Below are 27,993 nucleotides of genomic sequence, written 5' to 3' on the forward strand. Positions count from 1 at the left end.
TATCGCATTTTACAGATGAGGACTCCAAGGCTTAGAAAATCCAAGCATCAGAGCCAAGGCTGAAACCCTGAACTTTTATTTTTAGTAATGCTTTAATTTTGGAATAATATTTGACTTACAGAAATGTTGCAGAGATGGAGTTCTCATATTCCCTTCACCTAGATTCTCCTAATGTTAACTTGTAACATCACACCTTTTTAGTTAAACCTTGGCTTTTAACTCCAAATCTCAATTTCTTTATGATGTCAAGCTTTGTACTGATACCAGATTTCTACATTTTAGTCACCTGGAACTCCCTTAGAGTTTTTCTATCACATCTTCAGTGTTAGAAAGTCATCTGTATCCTGAGTACCAGGCCACATCAGAGAACTGGATTAATCCAGGTAAGATGCTAGCTACTGTCTGAAATGTCCTCAGTCTTTCTCTTCTGTTTGCTTGGCTTAGGTCTAGAGAAAAAAATTTCTTCCCTGTGTAGATCTTTAAGAAAATCAATTGTACGCCAGGTGTGGTGGTACAAGCCTGTAATCCCAGAGCTTTTGGAGGCCAAGGCCACAGTATTGCTTGAGGCCAGGAGTTCGAGACCAGTCTGTGCAACATAGTGAGACCCTGTTGCTACAAAGAAAAAATTTTAAAATTAGCTGCGTGTGGTGGTGTGTGCCTGTAGTCCCCAGATAGGAGGTTGAGGTGAGAGGATCACTTAAACCCAGGAGTTTGAGATGCAGTGATCATGCCACTGCACTCCAGCCTGGCCACAGAGAGAGACCCCGTCTCAAAACAAAACAAAACAAACCCAGAAACGTTGTCTCAAAAAAAAAAAAATCAATTATGCTGCCTCCATCAAAAAATTTAAAAAGGAAGAAAATTTTTTTAAAAACTGGAGAAGACTTACGTCGCCTTAAGTGTTCTGCCCCAGAGGAAGCTCTTTCTCAGTGAAGTTTACTCATGGAGAGGAGGAATCTCCCTTTCTTAGGACTAAAGACTTGAGGCTTGAGGTTTCCCAAGGCTCTTTGCCTGCCCTCCCTTACTCCCTTTTATGATTACTAAGGCTGCAACCCCATCTCTTCCCTTTATGTATTTGATTTAAATGTTCAGAGGTTTCCTGAGAGATGGAAAAGAAGTGCTGCAATTTGCTCAGGATGAGTCCATACACAGTTGAGTTTTGCACTGTTTTCAGTAACTCCTAAATGTGTTGCAGAGCAGTCAACTCTTGAATTGGGGATTATGTAATTTAACTCTTTTATGTAAGATTCAAACAGAAGTGGAATAGCATAGTGAACCCCATGAACTTGTTGACGAAAAGAGTCAAACTCCATAAAATATTTGAAGAGACTTACTCTGAGCCAAATACAATTGACCATGGCCTATGACACAGCCCTCAAGGGGGTCCTGAGAACATGTGACCAAGGTGGTCAGGGTACAGCTTGGTTTTATATATTTTAGGGAGGCATGAAACATCAACCAAATACATTTAAGAAATAGATTGGTTTGGTTCAGAAAGGCGGGACAAATCAAAGCGTGGGCTTCCAAGCTGTAGGTAGATTTAAACATTTTCTGCTTGACAATTGGTTGAGTTTATCTGAAGACCTGGGATTAATGGAAAGGAATGTTTAGGCTAAGGTAAAGGATTGTGGAGATCAAGTTTTATTGTGCAGAGGAATCTCTCAGGTAGCAGACTTCAGAGAGAGAGCAGATTGTAAAATGTTTCTTTTTTCTTGTTTCTCCACTGAATGAGTGGCCAAGGAAGTTGGATTTTAAGTCAAAACCCTTAGCAACACTTTCCCATCAGAGGGAAAATAAGTTACCTAATACGTAGCATCACCTAAAAACTCCACAAAATATCAGCTTACCTAAGACACCCATTTCTTTTTTTGCATCAGGAAAAAGTTCTACACATTGTAGGGAAGCCTAAGAAGAATTTTCGTGTCATAGTAGGTTTAAATGATAAACTCCAGGATCATCTGACAGAAATGTTAAATATAATACCTTCCTATACCAAACAAATGGTATGGGAATTACCTATTACTGATGACATTAATCGTCTTGAGTGAGTGAAAATTCAAAAATTTAAATATTAAAGTAGCCTCTTCTCTTTTTTTTGTTATGTCTCAATACCACATGGTATAGTTAAAAAACAGGAGTGGACCAGGAGTCAGGACCCCTGAGATGGAGTCCATGCCTAATCAATTCTAGAGTTTGGACCTTGGATAAGTCACTTGGGTTGGGTTTCCTAGAAGCGGAGCCTAGGCATGGATTCAAGTCTAGGGAATTTATTGAGGCAAAATAAGCTGCAGGAAAAAAGCTGCAAGGCAGAGAGGGAAGCAAGATATGGAAGAGGAAGTGGGCTGAGCAAGATGTGGTCTGAGCTTAAGTCTAGTTTAGTCTACTTTGGAAGAAGGATCTTTGGAACAAAACTTACCCTTGAGGCAAGGGGCCAGCCTTTTGTACCTCAATCAGTGCCTTGTGGATTGAGGACTTCCCGGAGAGAATAGATTATCTCCCTTTGTCCAAGGACAATTCTTCAGAGAAGGTGATGACTGTGAGCCATTAGCAGCCAGTGCTCATGATAATCAGGGAGTGGGTGCACTGACCTTCCTGGCAACTGGAGAATGGGTGTACTGACTTGGAAAAGGGGACCTGGGCAGGATACCACTGGCATGCATCACCACACGTAACCTCTCAGGCCCCAGTTTCTTCACCTATCCTCCTATTTGCAGGATTGTTTTTGAAAAACAGCAGATAGCAATTACAGTCCTATAAATGACAGGGATACATCCTGAGAAATGTGCTGTTGTATGATTTTGTCACTGTACAAGCATCATAGAATATACTTACACAACATAGATGGTATACCCTACTATGAACCTAGGGTAGATGGTATAGTCTGTTGCCCCTAGGCTGCAAACCTATACAGCATGCTACTGTGTTGAATACAGCAGACATTTGTAGCACAATGCTGTATTTGTGTATCTAAACATAGAAAAATCTAGTAAAAATGCAGTGTGAAAGATAAAAAAAAATGGTATACCTGTATAGACACTATGAATGCAGTTTTTAGGACTGGAAGTTGGTCAGGGTGTCAGTGAGTGAAGAGTGAATGTGAAGACCGTACACTGCTGTAGACTTTATAAACATTGTACACTTTGACTACACCAAATTTATTTTTAAAATATTTGTTGACACCATCACTACAAACACATGAATAATGCATTGCACTAAGCTGTTAAGATAGCTACAATGTCACTAGGTGACTGAAACATGTAGCACATGACTATATGAAAGGACAATGCAATCTATAAAATGCTGCATCAAACAAATAGAAAGAGATATTACCAAATTTGCATATAATATGCCAAGGCAAAAGGAGTATCTGACATACTGGTGAGAGAGTTTTAAGTTGGAGTTTTTGTGAGACTTTTTCTTTTGCCTCATTTTTTTTTAAAGTGTATTACAGACTGTACTCACATGGGTTTTAAAAGTAAATTAATATTAAAAAGTAAAGGTTTCTGTATTGAATGAAATTCTCCATTTTCATATATGTCTATACCCTAACTAATCATTTAATCATATGTAAATTCCATTTGTTCTGCAATAGTCTCAACTAATCCATCTAAATGTTCTTCGATCCTAACTTCTTTCCTTCCCTGCTCTTCCCACCCCACTCACTACCTCTGTTCTGCTCTCAAAACATCTTCCTCAATTGTTTCTTTAGCTCTGTTTGAGAACTAACATTGAATTTTAAAAATAATATTGTTATGAATAAGGAGGGTTTTATTTCTTCCCTTTCTTATTTCCCTTTCTTGTCTTGATGCAGTGGCCAATCTCTCCTGGACAATGTTAGGTAGAAATCATACTAATAGTCATCTTATTCCTGATTTTGAATGGATTCATCTAATGATTCATATCATATTTGTTGTGAGTTTCTGATCATTATCCTCCATAATATTAAGAACATTCCCATTTAGTCCTCATTTACTAAAAGTCTTTGTCACAAATGAGTATTGAATTTTATCAAATAATGTTTCTGCTTATGTTAAAATGATGATATAGTGTTTCCTCCTTTGATCTTAATGTGGTGAATTAACAGATTTTCTGTTGTTAAAATATCAGTTTTTTGAGTTTGTTAACTGTATTCAAATTTTCCTATAGCCGAAGTTTTTGTTTGCCCTCTGATTTTTTTTTTTTTTTTTTTAAGGCAGAATCTCGCTCTGTCACCCAGGCTGAAATGCAGTGGCACGATCTCAGCTCACTACAACCTCAGCCTCCTGAGTGGCTGGGATTACAGGCTTATGCCACCATGCCCGGCTAATTTTTGTATTTTTAGTAGAATTGGGGTTTCGTCATGTTGGCCAGGTTGGTCTTGAACTCCTGGCCTCAAGTGATCCACCTGCCTTGGCCTCCCAAAGTGCTGGGATTACAGGTGTGAGCCACCCCACCTGGCCTGATCTATTGATTATTGGGAGAGGTTTGTTAATACTTTGCTGTGGGGAAAAGACTTGTCAGTTTCTCCTTGTATTATGTCAATTTTGCTTTGCATATTCTAAGGTTATGAGTTGAGGTATATAGAAGTTCAGGAATTGCATGTCTTCTTGAGGAATTATTCCTTTAATCATGATGTTTTTTATCGCTAACAATGCTTATGTGGTCTGATATTAATGTAACTAGGCCAAAATCTTTTAGAGATTATTAGCTTAGTATCTCTTTCTCACCCCTTTGCATTTTAAAAAATGATTTCCTTTGGATATCAAGTGCACAGAATTGTATTATTTATATTCCTTTATGTGATCCATAACACGCTAATATCATTGGTCCATGTATTAGTCTATTCTCTCATTGCTCTAAAGAAGTACCTGAGACTAGGTAATTTATAAAGAAAAGAGGTTTAATTGCCTTATGGTTCTGTATCCTATACAGGAAGCATGATGCCGGCTCTGCTTGGCTTCTGGGGAGGCCTCAGGAAGCTTACAATCTTGGTGAAAGGTGAAAAGGGAGTGGGCATGTCACATAGCCAGAGCAGATGCAAGAAAGAGAGGGGGAAAATGCCACACACTTTTAAACAGCCCAATCTCACAAGAACTCACTATTGCAAGGACAGTACCAAGGGGGATAGTGCTAAACCATTCATGAGAAACCCACCCTCATGATCCAATCACCTCTCACTAGGGCTTGCTTCCGATATTGAGGATTACAATTTGACATGAAATTTCATGGGGACACAGATCCAAACGATGTCAGCCCACGAATGGCATGCTTTTGATTATTGCTTTCTTAATTTAAGTAGTTATTTTTAATAATTAAATTAGCACTCTTTAACCTGCCATTCAAAACAAAAGACCTTGAAAACCACATATACATCTAATCATTTGGTACTCCTTATTTCAGCTACCTGACTTCTTCCAGTTGCGGGAACATCATCCTGAATCCCAATTTTATCATTTCTTGCTTTCCTTTTTTATATATAATTTTATTTCATATATATGCATTCCTAAGCAGTATGTTTTTTAAATTGATTTTAATATCCTTTTACAATATTTTTATGTCCAAATCTTATAACTGTGAATCCATTTCATCCATAGATATTTGTTATGATTACTGATTTATTTCCACCACCTGATTTTGTCATTCTATTTTTCATGATCTTTCTTTGATTTTTTGTTAGTTCCTGTCTTGTGTTGGCTATATTTTCTTATTTTCCCCCTATTTACATGTTTGAAAACTATACATTTACACATGGGCATAAAATGTCCATATGCCCACCTGGCTTGTGAGATTATGAAACTAATCTCTTTCCTCACCCTTTTCCATATTATACAAAACTTGGAATGCCTCCTATCAACCCTCTCCAATATTACATAACATTATTGATTAATATTTTATTTCTACTTGTTTTTAAGCTTTCTTTCCCCCAAAGTGATCATTGTTATTATCATTGTTGTTATTATTGGATTTTTATCATCAATGATTAACTAGATTTCCATGTATACATTTTAACAAATTGGTTTCACTCACTGGGGCTTTCTGGGAGATTCATTTTTCTTCTCACTGAAGCACATGTTTCAGTGGTTTGTTTAGCAACTGCAGATTCTCTCAGGCTTTGTGTTAACATGTTTTCATTTAACCGTCACCCCTGAATGGTAGTTTCTATGTGTCTGCAGTAAGTTAGAGAGCCCTTATTAACTCAGTCTGCTCAGAAGATTGACAGTTGTATTCTTCAACACTTTAAGTATTTCTTTTTAGACTTTTATTTTAGGTTCAGGGGTACATGCACAGGTTTGTTATATAGGTAAATTGCAACAGAGTGAGACCCCTGCCTCAAAAACAGAAACAAAAAACAAAACACAAAAAAAACGTTGAGGTCAGAGAGGTAATGTGAAGGCAGACTGTGAAGAGCCTTGCCTACTTCTGTAAGGGCTTGGGCTGTTAATTTTGGTGAAAATGGAAACCATTGCAGGGTTTTGAGTGGAAGAATGATGTGTGTGATCCCACTTAGATTATGCAGGAATTTAAAAAGGGTTACTCTGACTGATATATTGAGAAGAAACTGTAAGGGGACTCATTTGTAGGCTTCCATAGTGATAATCATGGGAGAGCAAGAGTGGCTCAGATCAGGATGGTAGCAGTGGAGGTGGTGAGAAATGATCAGCTTCTGAATCTACCTTAAAAGTAAACTACAAATCAAAACCTAGCAGGTAAAAATAGAGAGTAGCTCTCAAGCTTTTCCAGGGCAAAGACAACATCTTGTTCATCTTTATTTCCTTAGTGCCTGAGCATAGACATGACATAAGCAATTGGGGGTTGTTGAATGAATGGTTAGGAATACATAACTTGTTTAGAAATAGGGAAAGCCTAGTATTTCTGGAAGCAGATATGCACATACTTTGGCTGTCAAGGCATCTTGATTTACTTAAACAGTACAAAAGAAAAAGTTGAGTCAGCCAATTTCCACATTCACTGATCTAAGAGGAACTCTTTTAGGTGCTGAGGTTACAGTGAAAAGCCAGTCATATATCTTGTCTATCTCTTGTATCCCTCATATATCTCAGCCCCGCAGCAGGCCTTGTATACCCTGTGCTCTAAGTGTGTCTGTAAGGCTACAAACTCCATTTCCCAAGCTCCCAATGCTTATGGGCAGAACTGGTGGGAGAGAAAAAAGGGAGAAAATTGTTAAAGGTTTTAATGCTTTAGTTAATACCTGAAATGATAGTTATTTTCTGACAGTTTGGAAATTATGCAATCCATTATCTATTTAAGAATTCACTCAGAGGAAAGGAATAATCATATGGTTTATTACTTGTTTACAAATACGTTACATTAGGATTGCTTTCCTAGATCCCTGAAAACCTTGAAGTACCAACCTTAGAAATGGCAGTAAAAACAGGAATTTGAAAAAATGTGCAGAGGATTTTGGGTAATATTCCAATTCAACAAAATACATAAAGCAGGCAGGAATATACCCCAATGTTCAACCATTAATTGGGAAAGGAGTCCAGGAAATCTTGCTGCATTCAAATCCAGGGTCATAGGTTGACATTGTAAATAGAAGGGGACTGCAAATGCCAGAAACCAAGTAAGAAATCTGAGTAAATACAACAATGAAAGGATACTTCTATAATAAGGGAACATGATACATAACAAAAAAGTTCACAAGAAAGTAGTCCTGGAAAGTAGTCATCCCGAAAAATTTCTGTCATAGCAACTCCCTTTAAAATGTACAAAATAGACACTACTTATACAAGGCTGACTGAAAAATAAAGCTTCCTCATTTGAATCTATCAGACCCAATTTTGACTATCATGAGGAAAAACAAAGAATGGACTAAAACAAGTGTTCAGAGAAAAGTAGATAAATTGAATTGAATTAGTGGTTAAAGTTCTTATGAATAATTGAGGAAATGGTACCAGATAGGTTTGGGAAATTATTAGAAGATAAGAAGACCAATACTGTCAAATAGTTACAGGACACTTTTAAAATATAGTCTTTATTATTAAACAATTATAATTCCTTTATTTGGAGGTTTCCATTAACAAAGTGTTAATCTCCATTTCTCTACCAGTTAGCAACATTTTCAGAGTTTTTACTTAGCACTTCTTATTTGTATAAGCAGATCCTCAGAATCCTAGGAGTTAAGTTGTCATTCCTACCTTTTTTTTTCTCTCACTAAAGGAAGAGGCAGAGAAAGTCTTTTGCAGAATTATATACGTCTTTGCCAAAATTAAGAACAAATCCAAGAGTGCCATTCATCAAAAGCTTTTTTCATTATAACCATTCATTCTATCGAAGTAGAAAAAGTGCTATAACCATTTACTATTCAAGCAAAGGGAGAAAAAAGAAAATAGAAGATTTCTGCGCTGCTTCAGTTACAGAAATGAAATAGAATGGCAGACTAGTCACCACTAAAATTCCTAAAAGCAATTTAAGAAAATATGAAAAGTGGCATTTTATTGTGCTTTATATACTGCTTATATCTCAACTAAGTAGTTTACTTTACTAGATCTAATTTCATTGGAAAATAACTTTTTTGGCCATCCTTTCAATAGGCTACAGATAAACTCATTTTATAATTCAGCTATTTATAAACACATACCACTGTTTTATAGAAAAGTGGAGTATCTAAAAGACTGTAAGCAAAATGATTTTATTTGATATTATATAATACACCAGATAAAGTTTCCTAGATAATATTTTGATTATAAAATATCATGGCTCCCCAGTGCTTACTGAATAAAATTTAAACTTTTTGCTCTGGCACTGAAGGCCCCTACAATGTCCCTATCTCTTAAAATTTGCTTTATTTACTCAATTGGACAAAGTTGTTGTGAGTCCATTCAGCTTTCTAACATGTCACCCTGTCCATATAATAACAGCTTGCACAGCTGGAAGCATCCTTTTCCTTCTCTGAATTTCTACAAGCCTCAGTTTACCACTCATAAGGCATTTATCATTACACTGCCTTATTTGTGTGCAAGTCTTACCAACCTGACTGTACTAAAGACCTAAGCCTAAGTGTGTATACACACACACACACACACACACAAATAGAGGCTTTATTTCTTCCCTTTTCTAGCATAGCAGACACTGAAAAGTACTTTTCTACAATATTTCCCTCCTCTACAGAGAAGACTTTTAGGCTTGGAGGCGCAGGAGTGAAAGGAGGCACAGTGGTCCTTAGTTAATCTCAGGAAGTTATATTTGTATAATGCTTTCTGGTTTGTAAAAGGCTTTCACATATATCTCTTCATGTAACATCAGAAACAAATATCACAGAAAAGTTAACAGAGTTGTCTGTAATGAGTTTGAGTGTGTAAAATCAGAGCTATTTAGCAAATATTTAGGAGAAGTGAAAAAGGAGAAAAGGAAATGGCTAGCTTTGTGGAAATAACATAAATAAAGCTGATTTTAAAGAAATTTGAAAAGGCTAGAAAAGATTGAGCAGAGAAAGTCTACAGAACTTTGGAATTCTAAAGAAGTTTTAAATTAGACTGAAAAGGAGATAATGAAGGCAATAAAAGATTGTAGGGAATTAATAAAGGGAGAGCTCTACGGTTTTGTAAGTCTCTGGTCAGCCTGTGGTATTTCAGAGGAGAAATCCAGAAAGGGTATTTGAGGATAGACAAGAACACGATGCTGGTGACTGAATAAAACATGGTCAGGGATTTCATCAGAAGCAGAATCCATTCATGACAGTCTGGCAATGCTGGAAGATGGTAATAGGCACTTGAGCACTTCGGAAGAAATCAGTCTTTAAGCATCGCAGGTGATTTGGGTGAAAGCAGAAGATATCAAAAAATTCTTATTTCTTGTGAATAACTCACAGCATTGAGCCTTGACATCACATATCAACACTTTGGATATTGTACAATCTTTTTCATCAGATACCTAGGATTCCCAATGTGCTTCTGAACAGACACATTTTCTTTTCTTTTTTTTTTTTCTTTTTGAGACAGAGTCTCACTCTGAAACCCAGGCTGGACTGCAGTGGCACCATCTCGGCTCACTGCAACCTCCACCTCCCAGTTTCAAGCAACTCTCCTACCTCAGCCTCCCAAGTAGCAGGGATTACAGGCGTGTGTCACCATGCCTGGCTAATTTTTGTATTTTTTGTAGAGATGGGGTTTCACCGTGTTGGCCAGGCTGGTCTCAAACTTCTGACTTCATGTGATCTGCCTGCCACAGCCTCCCAAATTGCTGGGATTACAGGTGTAAGCCATGGCACCCAGCCTGAACAGATACATTTTCTCCTACCACTCAGATGTGAGTTTCTATCCTCATAGGCTGCCTCTAACCTGATCTTCCTGTCCCCAACTGACAGGGCAGTTTTGAAACCATGAATAATAATTATAAATATTTGTTATGAATCTTCGGACCTGGAGAAAGTTTAAGCTTAGCTGGCATAAGCCTTGATGCACAGTCAGCTATAAACTGGGGAAGAGGGACACAGATGACGTCTTAGCACTTGGTCGGCCCAAGATAACTAAAAGGTAAGAAACAAGATGGTAAGTGTTACAGAATGTGTTCAAAATTCATAATAATCATTTTGATCTAACTCAGTAAGTTGATTTTTATTTACCTGAATGTGAAAGACTCCCCCTAAAGAGTAGCAAAATTAATGTAAACTAACATAATTAACATTGACCAGACAGTGGAGTTCTATGGATGGAGCAATCTCACAGTGTCTTAATGATAAAGAAGCTGTTTAAGGCATTCTTCTCATCTCTACTATCATGGTAGAGAAATATGGATTCCCCCACCCCAATTCTGAAAACAGTATGTACGTGGCAACAAATACACTAGATTGGCCCAGAATCTAGAACCTCAGAGAATAATACATAAATTCAAATGGCATAAGTTAGAAATTTCTCAGAAATATAGACAACATCAAATTTTTGGTACAAAGGCCATTTTACTGGTACATTTAATAAATGTTTATTAGCACCTATCATACAAGGCACAAAGAAGAGTAAAAGACCTCATGGATCTGACCAATTTGTGAAAGATTCATTAGAGGCAAAATGAATGGTCAGAGCAGCAGCCCCCCACATCAGAGCCATCCAACCAGATGTCCTAAAGTGCTGGCTGAGGGCAATTAACAAGTCCAGAAGGCCATTTAAATACACTGGGTGAGAACAAACTATTTTAGGTCCTACAACTTCCAGACCACTCTCCCATGGCCTCTTATCAAATGACTTCTTCCAATCACTTTCTAGAATGTAGAAGATAACTCATCGTCTCAGCCAGACTACATTTTCTAATACCCGATGATGTATAGTGGTAAATAAAGCCCTGGTCCACAATTTCTGTAACCATTAAGGGCTCCAGGGTGGCTTCAGTTCAGTGACAAATGAGCACCAATGTTGGCATGAATACCATGGGTCACTGTGAAAGAGTTTTTTTCCCTACATGGCTTCTCTGATGTTGAACAAGGTATGAAGTTCGAGTGAAACCTTTTCCACATGTGTCACACTGATAGGGTTTCTCACCAGTGTGGATTTTCTGATGTTCAATAAGACTTCTATTCCGTGTGAAACTTCTCTCACACTCATTACATTTATAAGACACGGGAGCCTCAGTATTTTCCCACTGGCTTTCCGTCCTACCCTGACTTTCCCAGGACTCCCCGTGCTCAGGATTCTGAACATTTTTATCACCATGAATCCTCTGATGTCTCAGGAGATGTGAATTCCGCCTAAAGGCTTTGCCACACATATTGCACTGGTATGGCTTCTCCCCAGTATGAATTTTGTGATGTTCAAGGAGGCTGCAGCTCTGGCTGAAGGTCTTCCCACAGTCATCACACTCATAGGGCTTCTCCCCAGTGTGGGTTCTCTGGTGTTTGATAAGGTTTGAGCTGTGACTGAAGACCTTACCACATTCTTCACACTCATATGGCTTCTCACCAGTGTGGACTCTCTGATGAATGACAAGGGCAGAGCTCCCAATGAAGGTCTTTCCACAGTCTTCACATTCATAGGGTTTCTCACCAGTGTGGATTCTCCTGTGTTTAGTCAGGCCTGAACTTTGAGCAAAACTCTTTCCACATTCATGGCAATAATGTCGCCTACTCCCTATGGCATTTTTCTGCTTTCTTTGTAACCTGCCCTCCTGTTCACCAGCTTCTGCATGTGTAGGAATCTGGGCAATGTCTTCCCTCAGGTGGCATATCTTCCCATGCTCCTTTTCTGGAAGCTTCTTGACTGGAGGCAAGTCCCTGCTCTTAGTCTGTATTTCACCACCTGAAACAACAAATGGCCGGCAACTGTGGGTTATGCCCTGCCATGGGAGGAAAGCTCTGTGATGAGTACTAGGGAGACAAGAATTACAGAAGTCTATATATGCCCAGGATGAGGATTTAAGTGCTAGAATAAGAATGGGAATAAAAAGGGAGAACAGGGGTGCTGGGGAGGAAGGAGGCCTGAGAATGAGAATGGGGCCATTGGAAGGGTACAAACTGGGAGTGGAGGGAAAATGGTGAGGACCCAGGACTATGCAGGGGACATATGTGATGGTTCTAAGCTCTAAGAATAGTAAGCAGGGCCATGCACCTAGGATTAGATTTTGAAAGGGGTGAGCAGAGGGTGACAGTAACAGGGCAAGTGGAAGGATTTCTGAAGCACCTGCAAGAAATGGCAAAAGCAAAGAAACTGGTGACTGGTGATCGATCAATGACATGGACCGTCATCTCTAACTGTGCCCAGGCAGAGGCAAAGTTCTCAAACAGAACTGGCATTGGCGCTAGGAGTTCTGAGGTAGAGCCCCCACTGTGCCACAAATAAGCTATGAGATTTCAAACAAGTGAGGTAATCTACGCCTCTGCACCCTCACCCCTAAGGTCAGGGTCTGTAGTTGATGTCTAAGGTTGCTTCTGGCTCTCACGTTCTGAATCCATGGCCCATTTCCTGAAGAGGCCCCCCCCTCCCCGCAGCTTTCCTCTTCAGTCAGGGATAGGAACAAGAGGACATCAACATTTACTGAGCATCTCCTATGAGCCAGACCTGTACAAGGAGTTGTATCAATTTCACCCCACTTATCCTAACTAGAACACTGGCATGACAGAGGAGAAAGCAAGGTCAGAAGGAGTAAGGAGCTAGTAGTCAGTAACAGGCTTTCAGGAATGGTGATTCTGAATCCAAACATAATGGGGGCTTAACAGCTTCTAACAGCCCAATAGGTTCTAATACGCAAAGAATGCCAAGAAATCTTAAGACAAATTAGTGTCTCAGTCTTACCAAGGGAGACCAGGCTGCTATGGTTCTCCTGCTTTTCATCTCTGTAGAGGTTCACCTGAGATGAATCCAGCTGTGTCCACCCAGGAGTGAGGGTCAGGGCCACATCTTCCATTTTCAGCAAACCCTAAAACAATAGGTAGTCCTAACTAGCTCCTCTTGCCCAAAATTACCCCCAAAGCAAAGAATGAACATCCCCTTTAAAGAGGCTCTTTAAAAAGGAGCAAGTGTGGCACACCTACACCAATTTAGCTTTATCTCTAATAACATCTTAATCAAGAAAACCTGCCAAATGAAAGAAATATTACACACATTTTAGGATAAGTACTTTCATATAAATATCTAAACAGTCCAGAAAGTAAAAAGGTTTGGAAGACAAGGGTCAATGCAGCAAAAGGAATGGAACTATGTCCAAAATTTTCAAAAGATTTGCAGTATGCTTTGGCAAAGTGAGAGTAGGGGTTCATTTACATTAATAGCTTCAAAAATACAATGAAATCTAGAACTGAAGTGAGAAAAATTAGGGGAAAAAAAGGATACTACACAGCCTCAAACACTGAGATCTTCAAGCAGGACAGGAAAGGCTGAGTAGTAAATTGAAATCTAGGTTGAGAAAAGATTGTTCATATTGTAATATAAATAACTTCAAGATAACTATGCCTTATCTGACCTTTCAAGTATAAGTTCTTTGAGGGCAAGGGCCAGGCCTTTATATCCCTCACCAACAGCACAGCTTATTGTATCTTAAAAAGCAAAACAGAATGACCATCCCAACAAAACCTTCAGTTTGCTTTTGCGGAACTGCCCTTGTTGAAGGAGAAAAATCACATTGAAGAAGAGGCTGACCGAAGAAATGTAGGAGGAAAGATCTGAGAAGTACAAAGAAAACTCCAAGGTTGTTGTGAAACAGGAAAGTCCTCTTAGGTGGGCACCAAAATGAAGGTGGACAATTATATGCAACTTTGGGATAGATGAGAAAACTCAAATTCATGTAGATCTAGGATAGGGGTGGGGTAGGACTGGGGAGGGAGGAACTTAATGCGGAGCCCAACAGTAGTGAAAGGTATGGGGCGCTGGGGAGGGAGAGGAGCTCCAGCTCACCTGGGACCCTGGAGTGAGCCTGGAAGCTACCATTGCATCTTCTCTGCAGCACCCTCCCTGGGCAAGCCCAGGAACCTGGAGAACTAAGAAAGAAAGAAGCTCTGGATGAGAACTACCCTAGTATTCAGCCTCCCCACCTTGCAAAATCCAAGTTCAAAAACTGGGGCAGTAAGTTCTTGCCAATAAGTTTATACAGAATGTGTTCCTTTCAAAAATGCCTGATTCCCACCAGCTCCAGCCCTAGGGCCGAAAGAAGTCTGGTGCACTCTGCAGATATACAAAAACCACGTGCAGAATCGTTGGTAGGAGTGGTGAAATGAATGCAACATAACAAAGCTTTCCATTTGAAGACCTTTGGGTTTTGAATTTTGCTAGGAGATGGGGAGTAAAGAGGGTTTTTTGTTTTTGTTTTGTTTTGGTTAAAATGTCTTTAGTAGATATTAGGATGCTTTCCACTTCAGGTATGAAAAACTAGGAGGAGGCCAGGCACAGTGGCTCATCCCTGTAATCGCAGCACTTTGGGAGGCTGAGACAGGTGGGTTGCCTGAGTTCCGGAATTCGAGACCATCCTGGGCAACCTGGAGAAACCTGTCTGAACCAAAATTACAAAAAATTAGCAGGTGTAGTGGCATGGGCCTGTGCTCCCAGCTACTCAGGAGGCTGAGGTGGGAGGATTGCTTGAGCCTGGGAGACAGGTTGCAGTGAGACAAGGTCTCACCACTGCACTCCAGCCTGGATAACAGAGTGAGACCCCCATCTCAAAAAAAAAAAAAAAAAAGAAAAAAGAAAAAGAAAAACTAGGAGGAGTCAAATAAGGCTGGGTCCAGAAAGGAGGCAATGGAAGACTGGAAGACTGCTTAAATAGAACTTGCTCAGACTCAGAAGCAGAAGAAACCTTAGGTTTCCCTACAATAAGTCAATTTGCAAGGGGCAGAAAATAAGTTGGTTTAGGCCAGAAACTCTGCTGAGAAATAAAGATTGCATGTTGGATGGCATGTCCAAGTGTTGTATGTCTTAGGAATCGGCCCAGATGTTCACAGCAGATGAGGAACAGCATGGAACACACAGCTGCTTCCTATTAAGTGATTTTCACTCTTCTAGTCACAGGCTTTACAGGGTTTAGATTTACACTCTTCTATTTGCAGCAGTCCTACTATCTCTGGAATGTTCTGGCTGGCTTTACAAATTCTGCCTTATTTTCTTCATAGCACTTAACAATATCTAAAATTATATTATTAATTTATTTTCTATCCTCCCTGCTAGAATGTAAGCTCCATCAAAGCAAGAATTCTGTCTTATTGGTGGCTCTCTCCCCAGTGCCTACAACACTGGCTACCATAGATGAAGGCTCCCTAAATATATCTAATGAATGGAGATCACCATGTTGTTTAAAAAACCGATTCTTTCTAGACATCAATTTTAATAAAATCAGATTTACTATGTCCTAGTTTGGTTAGGAAAGTTTTTCACCATTGTTTGAAATTTCTCTTAGTCTCAGTCTTAAAATACAGCTCTCTGTGATGAGTATATAAAGTAACTGTAAATGGATCTTTTAGGTGATCCTTAAATGAAATTGGATGAAGTCTATAGAATTCATACAACCCAGAAGAGAATACTCACCTCTATCGTGTAAGGGCTGGGATCCCAGAGATTCATGCTTGAACAGAGCCTTCATTGGCTGGCACTGGCTACTTTGAGACCCTTGAGTTTGTGTCAATAGTGCCATCTTGCAACAGAGCAGTTCTTGCCCCTGGTCACCAACGGGAACCTAGAAGTCACGATTTTTAGTTATCTACCCAACATTTCTATGTTTTCCATGTGCAAGTGATTTCTATTTTCTAGGCACTGTTTCTACAAGCCTTATGATATTAACACAATTAATATAGATAACAACCCTGTGAGCTATTATTTTGGATTTTTATGATAAGTTGCTGAAAACGGAGATGTGGCCCGGATCCTCTCTCCTGAGTGGACAGCATTTTTTTTGTTGTTGTTGGTTTTTTTGTTTTTTTTTTTTTGAGACGGAATTTCACTCTTGTTGCTCAGGCTGGAATGCAATGGCATGATCTCACCTCACCGCAACTTCCGCCTCCGGGGTTCAAGCAATTCTCCTGCCTCAGCCTCCCTAGTAGCTGGGATTACAGCCATGTGCCACCACGCCCGGCTAATGTTTTGTACTTTTAGTAGAGACCGGGTTTCTCCATGTTGGTCAGGCTGGTCTCGAACTCCCGACCTCAGGTGATCCGCCCACCTCAGCCTCCCAAAGTGCTGGGATTACAGGCGTGAGCCACTGCACCCAGCCAAGGGTGGACAGTGTTTAAGCAGCTTGCCCATGTCACCCAGCTAATAAGTGGAAATGCTAGGATGGGAGCTCAGACAGAATGACTCCAGATCCCGTGTTCTTACCATTACTCTAGGCTCCCTCATTATATACATCTGTGTGTTTACGAAAACCCTTTGGACACTGGTGCTAAATTCTCAATACTAATATATTTTCTAATCTGAAAAATGAGGATAATAATTTCTACTTTATGAGGTTTTGGAGACCAGTAAATAAGATCACAGTATGTGACATCACCTAACACAGGGCCTGGCACATAGTTATGTCCTCATTAAAAGCAGGTTTCCTTCCAGACATTGATAGTTAAATTACAGTTTTCAAGTTACTGTCTCACGTGCAGCTCAGAATTTCCCACATATTTTATGAAGAATGAAGCTAAGAGATTTGCAATGACTTCCCACTGCTACAGGGCTTGCGTGCAATAGACCTAAGTCAAGAACCTTGGTATCCAGCTCACCAGTTAGAAGATTTGGCCACACAGGTCCTCTGAAGTTGTGTGCACAGGGACACAGGACGATGCAAAGAGGAAACAGTCCCTCATAAAACAGGGAAGAACATGGAGGTAAAAATAGGCCCACTTTCTACCAGAGGTTCATAACCAGTGGTCCATGGACTTTCTCCCAAGTGGTCCATGAACTTAGAAAGGACAAAAACTAATCTTATTTTTACTGGTCTTTAAGAGAGAGTTAACATTTCCTTCAATTATGAATGGAAGCAACAAATCAAGGTAGCATAAGCAGTACCCAGGACTTTGTCACCAACAAAACCTGCACGTTTTCACACCACATTACAACCAGGCAAATAGATGCTTATCGCCATTTTGAAATTGCCAATTATAAGCCCTGTCCCTAGGTCTTATTATTTAGTGCAGTAATAAAAATCCACATATATGACTTTAATACAAATTTAATTCTTTGCTAACTGTATGTCAATATAGTTGTGTTCTTTTGTAATCCTTTATAGTTTCTTTATATATTTAAAAATATAATTCTGAGAAGGAGTCCAGGGACTTCACCTTACTGCCAAGGAGGTTCACAGTACAAAAAGAGATGAAGAACTCCTGGACCTTAAAGGAATGCCCCTCGCTCCGATCTGGGATTTCAGGAGGAAACAGACCACAGCGCTCAGATACTAAACCTGTTCTTTCTACCTGCGGCGCCGGCTCATCCAGCTGCCTCTCCAAATACTCCAATAGCACCACCACCTCCTCCCCGCTCTCTGGATGCTGCTCCCGCACCCAGCTCTGCAGATTCCCCGGCAGGATGGTCAGGAACTGCTCCAGCACCAGCAGCTCCAGGATCTGCTCCTTGCTGTGCATCTCAGGCTGCAGCCATTGTCCGCAGAGTTCTCGGAGCCGGCTCAACGCCTCGCGGGGGCCCGCAGCCTCCGGGTAGCGGAAGCCTCGGAAGCGCTGGCGGGAGCGTTCGGGGCCCCGAGCAGGGCTGCAGGGTGCTCTCACCTCCGCCGTCAAGGCGGAGGCTTCCTCCTTCTCCACCTTCACGGTCAGGAGCCCCGTCTGGTCTTCTGCAGACTGGGCGTCCAGGGCTGCGTTTTTTCTCGGTTCTCTAGCCATTCTGACCCAAGGCAGTACTCGGGTCTCACTCTAGTTGCGACCTGTATATCTTCAGAGGATTCTGGAAGGGTGGTAAATTTTCCAGTAGAACTGCAAGTGGTCCCCCTCCTGTCATGCCCAGGGGCCCAGGACACCCCCTGAGGCGCAGCTGCACAGATCTCTCTTATAGTCCGTGCCTTTGCAGGGTCGTCCTCTGCACCCCACTCTGAATCCCACAGTAAGTATCACCAAAGGATGTCTTTGGGAGTGAAAGTGATCACTCTCCAGACATAGGAGGGAAGTTGAGGCTGGGGCACAGGAAGTCTCGATGGGAACTAAGGCCACTTCCTGGGCGCTCTAGGAAGCTTCTCTCGGTGGTTGTCTCCGAATTAACCCATTAGCTACCCTGTCCTTACCTCCACGCAAGGGAAGGCAGTTAAGGGATAGAGAAGGAAAGGATGACAGACCTTGGATCATAAGAAATAGGACTGAGCCTTTAAATCCTGGAAGGATGCCGCTGCGGCTCATATTTCTTTCCTATGTAAAGCTTGCTTAAGCAGCTGGCATAAAATTGACACTAAAATTGAGCTGGAAAGCAGGGGTTCCCCAGAGCCCCAAGAACCCTGGCAGGGGGACCTTTAGTCTCTCTCAGAAACATCAAAGCAGCAGAACACATCACCAGGCACTTGCCTGGAGCGAGCAGTGGCTGCCCTTGGTCCTTCCCCACTCACCCCCTTAATCTGTCACTTTTTTTCCTCCTCCTTAAGGCCAGACTACTCCTCCCGACCCTGACTGTAGCCCTCACCTCCCACTAATCCTCAACACACTGTCCCACTCCCCCACTCACCACTTTGCACATTCCATGGCTGCTTCTCTGGCAATCAGGCTTATGCTGCTCTCCACCTCCAGAAACTCTCTAGTCTCTGGCTTCAGGGACCCCATTCTCTTCTGCTTTCTTCCTTCCTGTTTCTTCCCAGCCCCCAATCACAGTCAAGCACAGTGGCTAGATACGCAGGTAGCCAGGTTACCTGTGTAATCCTGGCTTACCCTCCCTGTGCCCGACTTTTCCAATCTGTAAATAGGGAAAGTAATAGTAGATAGGGATGTTGTAGGCATTACTAGGGATTAGATAATGTTGTGAGCACTCTTGTGTAAAGTGCTTAGAACAGTGCCTGGCATGTGATAAACTAGGCCTATCCTATAATAGAAGAAAGCCCTGAGAATTCTTTGAACTAGATGGGACTCGATTTTAAGCCATAATTGACTGTAAGTTATTTGACTGGACACTTCAGTAAGCCCCTTTCTGCCCAGTGGAATGGAGAAGCTACAAAATGCAAGTTCAGTAGTTTATGAGGGGAAAAAATATCATGTCAGTACTTTCTTGAGTTTTTCTTTCTTTGCCTATGCCTCTACATTCCAAGGATTAAGAAATAACATAACTTAAGAAAATGAGAAGTCCCAAAGACTGTTGCAAATGAAAAATACTACAAAATATCTTTCTCTTGATGAGCTACCACAGAAGGTAGGGGGCACTGCCCATGAAGTATCCTTATAAGTGAACTTGAATCTAAGTACTTTTCTAGATCCAAATATTTACAGAAATAAGTTAAGTTAGCAGTTTTCACACTCTGTGTCACACAGAATCACTGGGGAGCTTTTAAAACATCCTGATACCTAGGCTGCAACCAAGATCAATTAAATCAGAATGTCACAGGATGGGACTCAGGCATTAATAACATTTTTTGGTTGTTTTTGTTTGTTTTGCGACAGAGTCTTGCTGTGTCACCCAGGGCTGGAGTGCAGTGGCGCAATCTTGGCTCACTGAAACCTCCACTTCCTGGGTTCAAGTGATTCTAGTGCCTCAGCCACCCGAGTAGCTGGGATTACAGACATGCGTCACCATGCTGGTCTCAAACTCCTGGCCTCAAGTGATCTGCCCACCTCAGCCTCCCAAAGTGCTGGGATTACAGGTGTGAGCCACCACGCCTGGCCAACTTTCCTAGGTGATTCCAACATGCAGGTGAGTTTGAGAGTTAAGGAATTAAATGACACTTTAAAAAATCAATCAGCCAAATCCAACATGTGGGACATTCTATAGAACAGAATGATGCAGGACAAGTGAGCCCCAAAATTAGGGCTTAGCTCAAAAGGATGCTTTGCTTCGCCCAGGGAAGAGTTCAAGGGCAAGCCAGTGGTATTAGGCAGCAACTTTTATTGAAGTGTCAGTGTACAGCAGCAGCAGAGGTACTGCTCCTTACAGAGCAGGGCTACCCCCTAGGCAGTGTGCTCAGACTAGCAGCTCAAAAGCAGTTCTGCAGTCACATTTATACCTACATTTAATTATATGCAAATTAAGCACCAGATTATGCAGAAATTTCTAGAAAAGGGGTATTACCTTCTGAGTCACTTGGTCATGGCCATGGAAAGGGGTGGCAACTTCCCTGTGTTGCCATGGCAATGGTAACTGACATTGCACACTGGTGGGTATGTCTGGTGGAGAGGTGATACTGCCTCTTCCCTCTTTTAGCTAGTCCTCAATTTGGTCAGGTGTTGGAGCCCCACTTCTGGAGTTGAATTCTGCCTCCTACCTCATTCCTCCCTCAGGGATTAGATATGCCTTCTTAATTTTAAGCAGGCTGCAGAAGGGCAGTGGTCCATCTTCTGTAACTGCTTCCTGCTTAGTTTATGGGCATAGGCCCTGCCTAGCACTGGAAGAGTAAAAATCTCTGGATACCATATCTAAAGGCGGGATGCTTTTATTTTCTGGGTCAGTAGATGGGATGGGTTGGAAGCCCTGCGACGGCATTTTCTTTATCTGGAACTGTTGTAATTTAGAAGACACAGATTTTATAAAGACGTTAAACAAGCAAGGGCCAAAGATTAGTAATAACAAGATGGCTATTAAAGGTCCTAGGAGAGATAAAAACTAGGTGAGACTTTGTATGGCACTTCTGATAATTGACCAGATATAGTTGGGTTCAGTGCCCTGATTATAGATATGTAACCCGGTATCTTGCTTATAGATCTTGTGAATGTTAAATTCAACCTGTTCAGAGTTGTTACTACATGTGCAGCAGGTTTTATTAATAATTGCACAGACTCCATCTTGTTTGGCTAGTAAATAACCTATACATTTGGGCTGGCAAGTCAGGGGCTCTTCTCTGGGCATTCCAGACACCCATCTTGTGACACTATTTCAGGATGGGTAACCCTCAGGGGTCAGGGGACTTAAAGCATTTGCTAATAATTGCACTTTTTGGCTATTGTTAAATCTCTTTTGCCCTGTCCCTATTGTTGTAAACTTTAAAGGCCATATTTAAATGGCTCATAGGGGTTTGAGGTCCTATTGCTGCTTTTTATAGCTTTCTCCTAGGATAAGGGGCAGATTGAGTAATAAAATGCATACCTAGGAGAGCTTGTCCTTTTTGGGAGTCTGAGTCTGCATTAGTATATGTCCTGAGTGTTTCACCAAAATGACCCTGAAATAGAGTGGGATTTTCTCATTTTCCCTGAGTTATTTCTTTAACCTTGTCATAAATGACTGGCTTAACCACACAATTTTTCCTTACCTTTTTTCTTTTCATGGCACAGCAAGCAAATGACAATACTTGCAAGTCATGACAAGTTAAAGAATATGGTAAAATGTATAAGCCTTTTTTTTTGATTCTCTGAAAACTGGCCAAATTTTTCCTTGTATAAAGCCAAATTAGAGATAGACAATGCCCCATGTACTCTAAGTGTTCCTCCATTTCCATCAGCTACCTCCTGCAATGGACATAGGTTTGACTTTAGGGGCTTATATGGGGCCCTACTCCTGGTGGTCCTGGTTGGGCTTACTTTTTTGGGCCCTGGGGGGTAAAGGCTGGGGGTAGTTGGATAAGGGAAAGGGGTGCCTGATGACCTTGAGTTAGAATCCTTCATTAGAAAACTAATGGGACTACTCTCAGAATAGGATTAAGGAGACTTCAGACAGGGCATAGGATGATATTGTGATTATGAAGGAAAATGTCCTTTTTATGCATTCATGACTGAAATAGTTAGAGGTGAAGCATCATAATGTCTGCAATTTTCTTTCAATTGAGTAAGAAACCAAATCGTAACAACTAGTGAATCTAGGTAAATGATATATGGGTGTTTGAACTTTTCTGTAGGTTTGAAAGTTTTTAAAATAAAAATTGGGAGCTGGGCATGGTGGCTTATGCCTGTAATGCTAGCACTTTCTGAGGCTGAGGTCAGAGGGTCACTTGAGCCCAGGAGTTCAAGACCAGCCTGGGCAACATCTGTCTAGAGACAGGGTCTAGTTCTACAAAAAATCAAAAATCAGTTGAGCATGGTGGCACACAGCTGTGGTCCCAGCTACTCAGGAGGCTCAAATGGAAGGACCACTTAAGCCCAGGAGGTCAAGGGTACACAGTGAGCCATGATAGTACCACTCCACTCTAGCATGGGCAACAGAGTAAGACCCTGTCTCAAAAAATAATAAAATAAAATAAAAACTAGAGGAAAGATTTATGAAAAACAATTTTGAGAAATTTTAAGAAAGGTAGTAAAAGGTTACCTGTGAGAACAATTCCATTTTAGCTGAGCATTCAACATCTGGTACTTTCCTTGATAATTAAAATGTATTGTTATTTCAAAAACTGTCCCTATTTTCTTAAAGTTCTTCAAATATATTTCTATGCTGTATGCAAATGAACATTTGCTCATCTATAAATAAAATTTAGAAAATAAAAGCCCATCCTCCCATTAAAAAGGTATGGTAGGCATTTATTTTTATCCCTATAAGCATACTTTTTGCACCACTGCTTTTTCTGCTAAGTCAGGGGTTAGCAAACTGCTGCCTACAGACCAAAATTGCCCCATGGCCTGTTTTTTAATGGTCTGAGTGAGGAATTATCTTTATATTTTTTAATGGCTTGGGGAAAAATCAAAAGAATAATAAAATTTAGTAACGTGAAAATCATATGAAATTCACTTCAGTGTCTATAAATAAAGTTTTGTTGGAACACAGCCATATTCATTCACTTACATATTGTCTATGGCTACTTTTGACCTACAAGGGCAGAACCCTAATTAAGCAAAATGTTATTCATCCAAAAAACAATTTCATTCTTCCCATTAGAAAATATGCATTGCAAAATTATACTCAATTATTATAGTTTGAATAATAATATAATTATATTGCATCAATGAAAATGTGCTTTTTCTTTTGTTATAAGTATGTAATATACACCATGGAATACTATACAGCCATAAGAAAGGAATGAGATCATGTTCTTTGCAGGCACATGGATGAAGCTAGAAGCCATTATCCTCAGCAAACTAACACAGGAAGAGAAAACCAAACACTGCATGTTCTCATAAGTGGGAGTTTAACAATGAGAACACATGGACACAGCGAGTGGAACAACACACACAAGGGCCTGTGGGGGGTGGAGGATGGGAGGGAGAGCAGCAGGACAAATAGCTAATGCATGTGGGGCTTAAAACCTAGATGATGGGTTGATAGGTGCAGCAAAGCACCATGGCGTGTGTATACCTATGTAACAAACCTGCATGTTCTACACATGTATCCCAGAACTTATAATAAAAATTAAAAAAAAACAGTTATCTCTTCCTTGGAATAATTGAACAAATTGTTGATTATGCTTTATCATTTAAAATAAATGTATATTTTGTCTTAAAAAAAGTATGTAATAATATCCTCAATTTTGCCTCTTGGCCCACAAAGCCTAAAATATTTACTATTGGCCTTTTGCAGAAAAGGATTGCCAGCCCCTAGTCTAGGTCATAACTTTTCTAAAGATCAAAAATATATTCTAAATTTCATTTTCCTGTGTCGCTACCTGAAAGAAGTATTTCATCAACCAGCTTTGTAATTCAAGTCTACATCAGATACTAAATGGCTTAAATTTACAATTATCCAAGTAAGACATATCCATTTCATTGGCCTATCAAGTAGTTTATAACTCCAAAAGAAAATTTTCTTTACTTACACAAACTCTATAGTACTCACCCTATCCATATGATATTTTCACTATACATGTGACCATTCACATATAATACTCCCTGCTGTTTACCAGTTCCTAAATTCATATAATTTATGTATGGAACCAATTCTTATCCCCTTCAATCAAAGTACTAAAATTCTACTTAGAGCAAATGATATGATTTGGTCTTATTCAATTTAATTTCCCCCATTTTGTTGTTTAGAGTTCTAGCATCAGGAAGGCATCATTCTTAAGTTTTGACCTGGCTGTCAAACAACTGAGCAGATCAACTTAATTAGAGAGAACCAAGATGATGTTAATGCCTATTTACATTTTAAGATGAGAGATAAATGATCTTGCATAAAACGTTTATCATTTCTGAGAGTGAGATCTAATGTGTATCGAGAAAGTGGTTTCCAAACTACAAAGTTTCTGAAGAAGTCTCCCTAGATAGAAAGACATCTGTCTACAAGATCGAGTGGGATGCTTCTGTGTGTTTCTAGGGTGGAAAAGTCTGTGAATTTAATAATTAAAATCATGACTCTGGGCCGGGCATGGTGGCTCACACCTGTAATTCCAGCACTTTGTAAGGCTGAGGTGGGAGGATCGCTTGAACCCAGGAGTTTGAGACCAGACTCAGAAACAAAGTGACAACGGTCTCTACAAATAATTATTAAAAAAATCAACCTGGCGTGGTGGTGGGCACCTGCAGTCCCAGCTCCTCGGGAGGATCTCTTGAACCTAGGAAGTCAAGTCGGCCCTGAGCCATGATCGTGCCACTGCACCCCAACCTGGGCGACAGAGTGAGATCCTGTCTCCAAAAAAAAAAAAAAAAAGTACGACTTTGGCCTTCACCTAGCTTAGAGGGTGAGCTCAAACTGATTCCAAAAGAAGTTTTGGTTCTTGCTTCCAGTGGTAACAAGGGGGGTTGGGAAGTGATTAATTAAACATATTTCCTCCACGAAGAGGGTGGACAAGTTCCTTTTTTAGGAAGGAAAAAAGGAGGAGCGTTGGTAGTAGGGATCTTCCACAGAGGGGTAAAGTTAAGGAGGTGGAAATGAAAGGGAAGAACAAAGGGTGAGAAGCAAAATGGTAAAAGCGAAATCGAAAAAGAGAAGTGGGTGTTCCAACAGTAGAGGGGATCATTGACGCAAATTCGTCCTTTTATGTTCCCACACGGCTCAAGTTGGGGAATATAAGTCCTAAAAACAGGCGCACCCTAATCCTACCTACTTCCCACAAGAAGCCTTCACGCAGCCAAGGCCCGCCCCACATAGCACACGCGCGGATTCGTTTTCCGTTTGGTAACTGACAGGAAGCGGAAGCCGTGCGTGGGAGGCCGATTCTAGTGCGCCTGCGTGGCCGCGAATCACCAGCCAGCCTCTGGGTCTGTAGCAACCGCCCAGCGTTGAGGCGCGGCTCATGCCCCCAGTATCCCGGTCCAGCTATTCCGAGGACATCGTGGGCTCTCGGAGAAGGCGACGCAGCTCCTCGGGGAGCCCACCATCCCCGCAGAGCAGATGTTCCTCTTGGGATGGCTGTTCCCGCTCTCACTCCCGCGGCCGTGAGGGCCTCAGGCCTCCTTGGAGTGAGTTGGACGTGGGCGCTCTTTACCCCTTTAGTCGCTCTGGGTCGCGAGGGCGGCTCCCAAGATTCCGCAACTACGCCTTCGCGTCCTCCTGGTCGACCTCGTATAGTGGATATCGCTACCATCGTCACTGCTATGCAGAAGAACGGCAGTCAGCGGAAGACTACGAGAAGGAAGAGAGCCATCGGCAGAGGAGGCTGAAGGAGAGAGAGAGGATTGGGGAATTGGGAGCGCCTGAAGTGTGGGGGCCGTCTCCAAAGTTCCCTCAGCTAGATTCTGACGAACATACCCCAGTTGAGGATGAAGAAGAGGTAACGCATCAGAAAAGCAGCAGTTCAGATTCCAACTCGGAAGAACATAGGAAAAAGAAGACCAGTCGTTCAAGAAACAAGAAAAAAAGAAAGAATAAGTCGTCTAAAAGAAAGCATAGGAAATATTCTGATAGTGACAGTAACTCAGAGTCTGACACAAATTCTGACTCTGATGATGATAAAAAGAGAGTTAAAGCCAAGAAGAAAAAGAAGAAAAAGAAACACAAAACAAAGAAAAAGAAGAATAAGAAAACCAAAAAAGAATCCAGTGACTCAAGCTGTAAAGACTCAGAAGAGGACTTGTCAGAAGCTACCTGGATGGAGCAGCCAAATGTGGCAGATACTATGGATTTAATAGGGCCAGAAGCACCTATAATACATACCTCTCAAGATGAAAAACCTTTGAAGTATGGCCATGCTTTGCTTCCCGGTGAAGGTGCAGCTATGGCTGAGTATGTAAAAGCTGGAAAGCGAATCCCACGAAGAGGTGAAATTGGGTTGACAAGTGAAGAGATCGGTTCTTTTGAATGCTCAGGTTATGTCATGAGTGGTAGCAGGCATCGCAGAATGGAGGCTGTACGACTGCGTAAGGAGAACCAGATCTACAGTGCTGATGAGAAGAGAGCTCTTGCATCCTTTAACCAAGAAGAGAGACGAAAGAGAGAAAGTAAGATTTTAGCCAGTTTCCGAGAGATGGTGCACAAAAAGACAAAAGAGAAAGATGACAAGTAAGGACTTACTTGTTGCACAGCAGGAATTTTAACAACAAAAATTTTATGTGACCAAAAGTGTTAAAAGGCTTTACAGTGCTACTGTACTTACCATATTAGTAAGTCCCTCAGGAAAAAGCTTCTTTTGAGATATCTTTAGCAGCTTATTTTTTGTTATTTTAACTTTAAAAAGTAATATGTGCACATGGTTTTAAAAATATTCAACCATTATAGGAGGAGAGTTAGTAAAAAGTGAATCTTTCACTTTAGCCCCTGACACCTTTCCCCCAAAAATATATATTTTGGTGTCTTATATACAGAATATACATTCTGTGCATATACAAGAGTATATGTTGCAGCATAAAGATTAAAAGCTATTAAAGTTTTTTTTCGCTCGTTACTCTTTTGCCATTCATTTGCCCCGGGGGGACCAAAAGAAGCCCAGAAAGAACAAAGGATTCAATCAAGTGTATACTTCTACTTTCAGTTAATAGACTGGCTTAGAAAATAGAAAAGATTTAGTGGCTCTTACAAATGAAAAGTCTAGAAGAAGGATGGATTTTCTGCATGGCTTTAATTGGACATTGGCTTTCTTCTCCACTTTTTTTCCAAGGGTCATTTTCCTTGGGCTGGTTTCCCTTATATAACAAAAAGGCTGCCAAAGCTCCTGATTTTGGTTATCTTTTTTCTGGTCCATCTCTGAAGAGAGAACATTTCTTAGTTGCTAATCCAAACAAGAATCCAGAGATTCACCATAATGGGATAAGCTTGGGTCACATGCCCACTCAAAACAAGTGTTGTTGCTTAGGAAATAGAATGGCTTATCTGTGGAGTCATAGACCAGTTATAGAGGAATGGATTCTTGAATGAAAATCAGGGTAATTTTGGGCAAGGGGGATAGACAACCATAGACGCGTACTACAGTTTCGAATGCTTTTTTAAAAAACGTATAATGAAAGTACATGTGCTAAAAGTGAACATTTTCTTGAAGAAAAACTTGGCTTCGACTATTAGAAGTCAGATTCTAATTTAAGAGGATATAGGGTTTATTCATAAAAAGAGATATAAAAGATGGAGATCAGAGTGCTTGAGTAGATTAGGGCCACCTAGACTAGCAAGAGAAAGAAAAAATGATAAGGTATAAAGAAGAAGGCCCAGGCATGATGGCTTGCCTGTAATCCCA

General features: G+C 40.8%; 2 protein-coding genes across 10 annotated transcripts, besides 5 other annotated features; one reads left to right on the forward strand and one right to left on the reverse strand.

Annotated features, from left to right (window-relative positions):
- Positions 2,104 to 2,918: an enhancer, noted in NCBI's record as "OCT4-NANOG hESC enhancer chr6:28203630-28204444 (GRCh37/hg19 assembly coordinates)". NCBI's record gives its function as "activates a minimal SCP1, AML or CMV promoter by ChIP-STARR-seq in naive H9 embryonic stem cells {active_cell/tissue: H9 hESC(naive)}" and the evidence as "EXISTENCE:reporter gene assay evidence [ECO:0000049][PMID:30033119]".
- Positions 6,110 to 6,189: a silencer, noted in NCBI's record as "silent region_17042". NCBI's record gives its function as "represses an Ori minimal core promoter by ATAC-STARR-seq in GM12878 lymphoblastoid cells {active_cell/tissue: GM12878}" and the evidence as "EXISTENCE:reporter gene assay evidence [ECO:0000049][PMID:35858748]".
- Positions 7,949 to 25,463, reverse strand: ZKSCAN4 (zinc finger with KRAB and SCAN domains 4). Of its 9 annotated transcripts, XM_005249095.4 has the most exons (6): positions 19,059 to 19,197; positions 17,810 to 18,293; positions 15,939 to 16,086; positions 14,319 to 14,401; positions 13,221 to 13,344; positions 7,949 to 12,227 (listed from the first exon to the last, which is right to left on the reverse strand). In XM_005249095.4, the coding sequence occupies exons 2-6, from the start codon at positions 18,230 to 18,232 to the stop codon at positions 11,368 to 11,370; spliced, it is 1,638 nt and encodes a 545-aa protein (XP_005249152.1). In that variant the 5' UTR covers positions 18,233 to 18,293; positions 19,059 to 19,197; the 3' UTR covers positions 7,949 to 11,367. The 9 variants fall into 9 exon arrangements, with proteins under 9 accessions (XP_005249152.1, XP_047274709.1, NP_001291435.1 ...); XM_047418753.1 differs by lacking the exons at positions 17,810 to 18,293; positions 19,059 to 19,197 and adding an exon at positions 25,435 to 25,463; NM_001304506.2 differs by lacking the exons at positions 17,810 to 18,293; positions 19,059 to 19,197 and adding an exon at positions 25,431 to 25,463.
- Positions 18,080 to 18,149: an enhancer, noted in NCBI's record as "active region_24350". NCBI's record gives its function as "activates an Ori minimal core promoter by ATAC-STARR-seq in GM12878 lymphoblastoid cells {active_cell/tissue: GM12878}" and the evidence as "EXISTENCE:reporter gene assay evidence [ECO:0000049][PMID:35858748]".
- Positions 18,280 to 18,329: an enhancer, noted in NCBI's record as "active region_24351". NCBI's record gives its function as "activates an Ori minimal core promoter by ATAC-STARR-seq in GM12878 lymphoblastoid cells {active_cell/tissue: GM12878}" and the evidence as "EXISTENCE:reporter gene assay evidence [ECO:0000049][PMID:35858748]".
- Positions 25,549 to 27,210, forward strand: NKAPL (NFKB activating protein like). Its single transcript, NM_001007531.3, has one exon. The coding sequence runs from the start codon at positions 25,624 to 25,626 to the stop codon at positions 26,830 to 26,832; it is 1,209 nt and encodes a 402-aa protein (NP_001007532.1). The 5' UTR covers positions 25,549 to 25,623; the 3' UTR covers positions 26,833 to 27,210.
- Positions 25,557 to 25,636: a silencer, noted in NCBI's record as "silent region_17043". NCBI's record gives its function as "represses an Ori minimal core promoter by ATAC-STARR-seq in GM12878 lymphoblastoid cells {active_cell/tissue: GM12878}" and the evidence as "EXISTENCE:reporter gene assay evidence [ECO:0000049][PMID:35858748]".
- Positions 27,211 to 27,993: the final 783 nt, after the last annotated feature.

Source organism: Homo sapiens, chromosome 6, assembly GCF_000001405.40.
Source record: "Homo sapiens chromosome 6, GRCh38.p14 Primary Assembly".
NCBI lineage: Eukaryota > Metazoa > Chordata > Mammalia > Primates > Hominidae > Homo > Homo sapiens.

Excerpts from the sequence above, each read along its gene's own strand:
- ZKSCAN4 (XM_005249095.4), bottom strand. The coding sequence starts at position 18,232 with ATGGCTAGAGAACCGAGAAAAAACGCAGCCCTGGACGCCCAGTCTGCA. Across the intron at positions 16,087-17,809 it reads TGGATGAGCCGGCGCCGCAG|GTTCCCGTTGGTGACCAGGG; the intron begins GTAGAAAGAACA and ends CGTGACTTCTAG. Across the intron at positions 13,345-14,318 it reads GGCTCACTCCAGGGTCCCAG|GGTTTGCTGAAAATGGAAGA; the intron begins GTGAGCTGGAGC and ends CTATTGTTTTAG.
- NKAPL (NM_001007531.3), top strand. The coding sequence starts at position 25,624 with ATGCCCCCAGTATCCCGGTCCAGCTATTCCGAGGACATCGTGGGCTCT.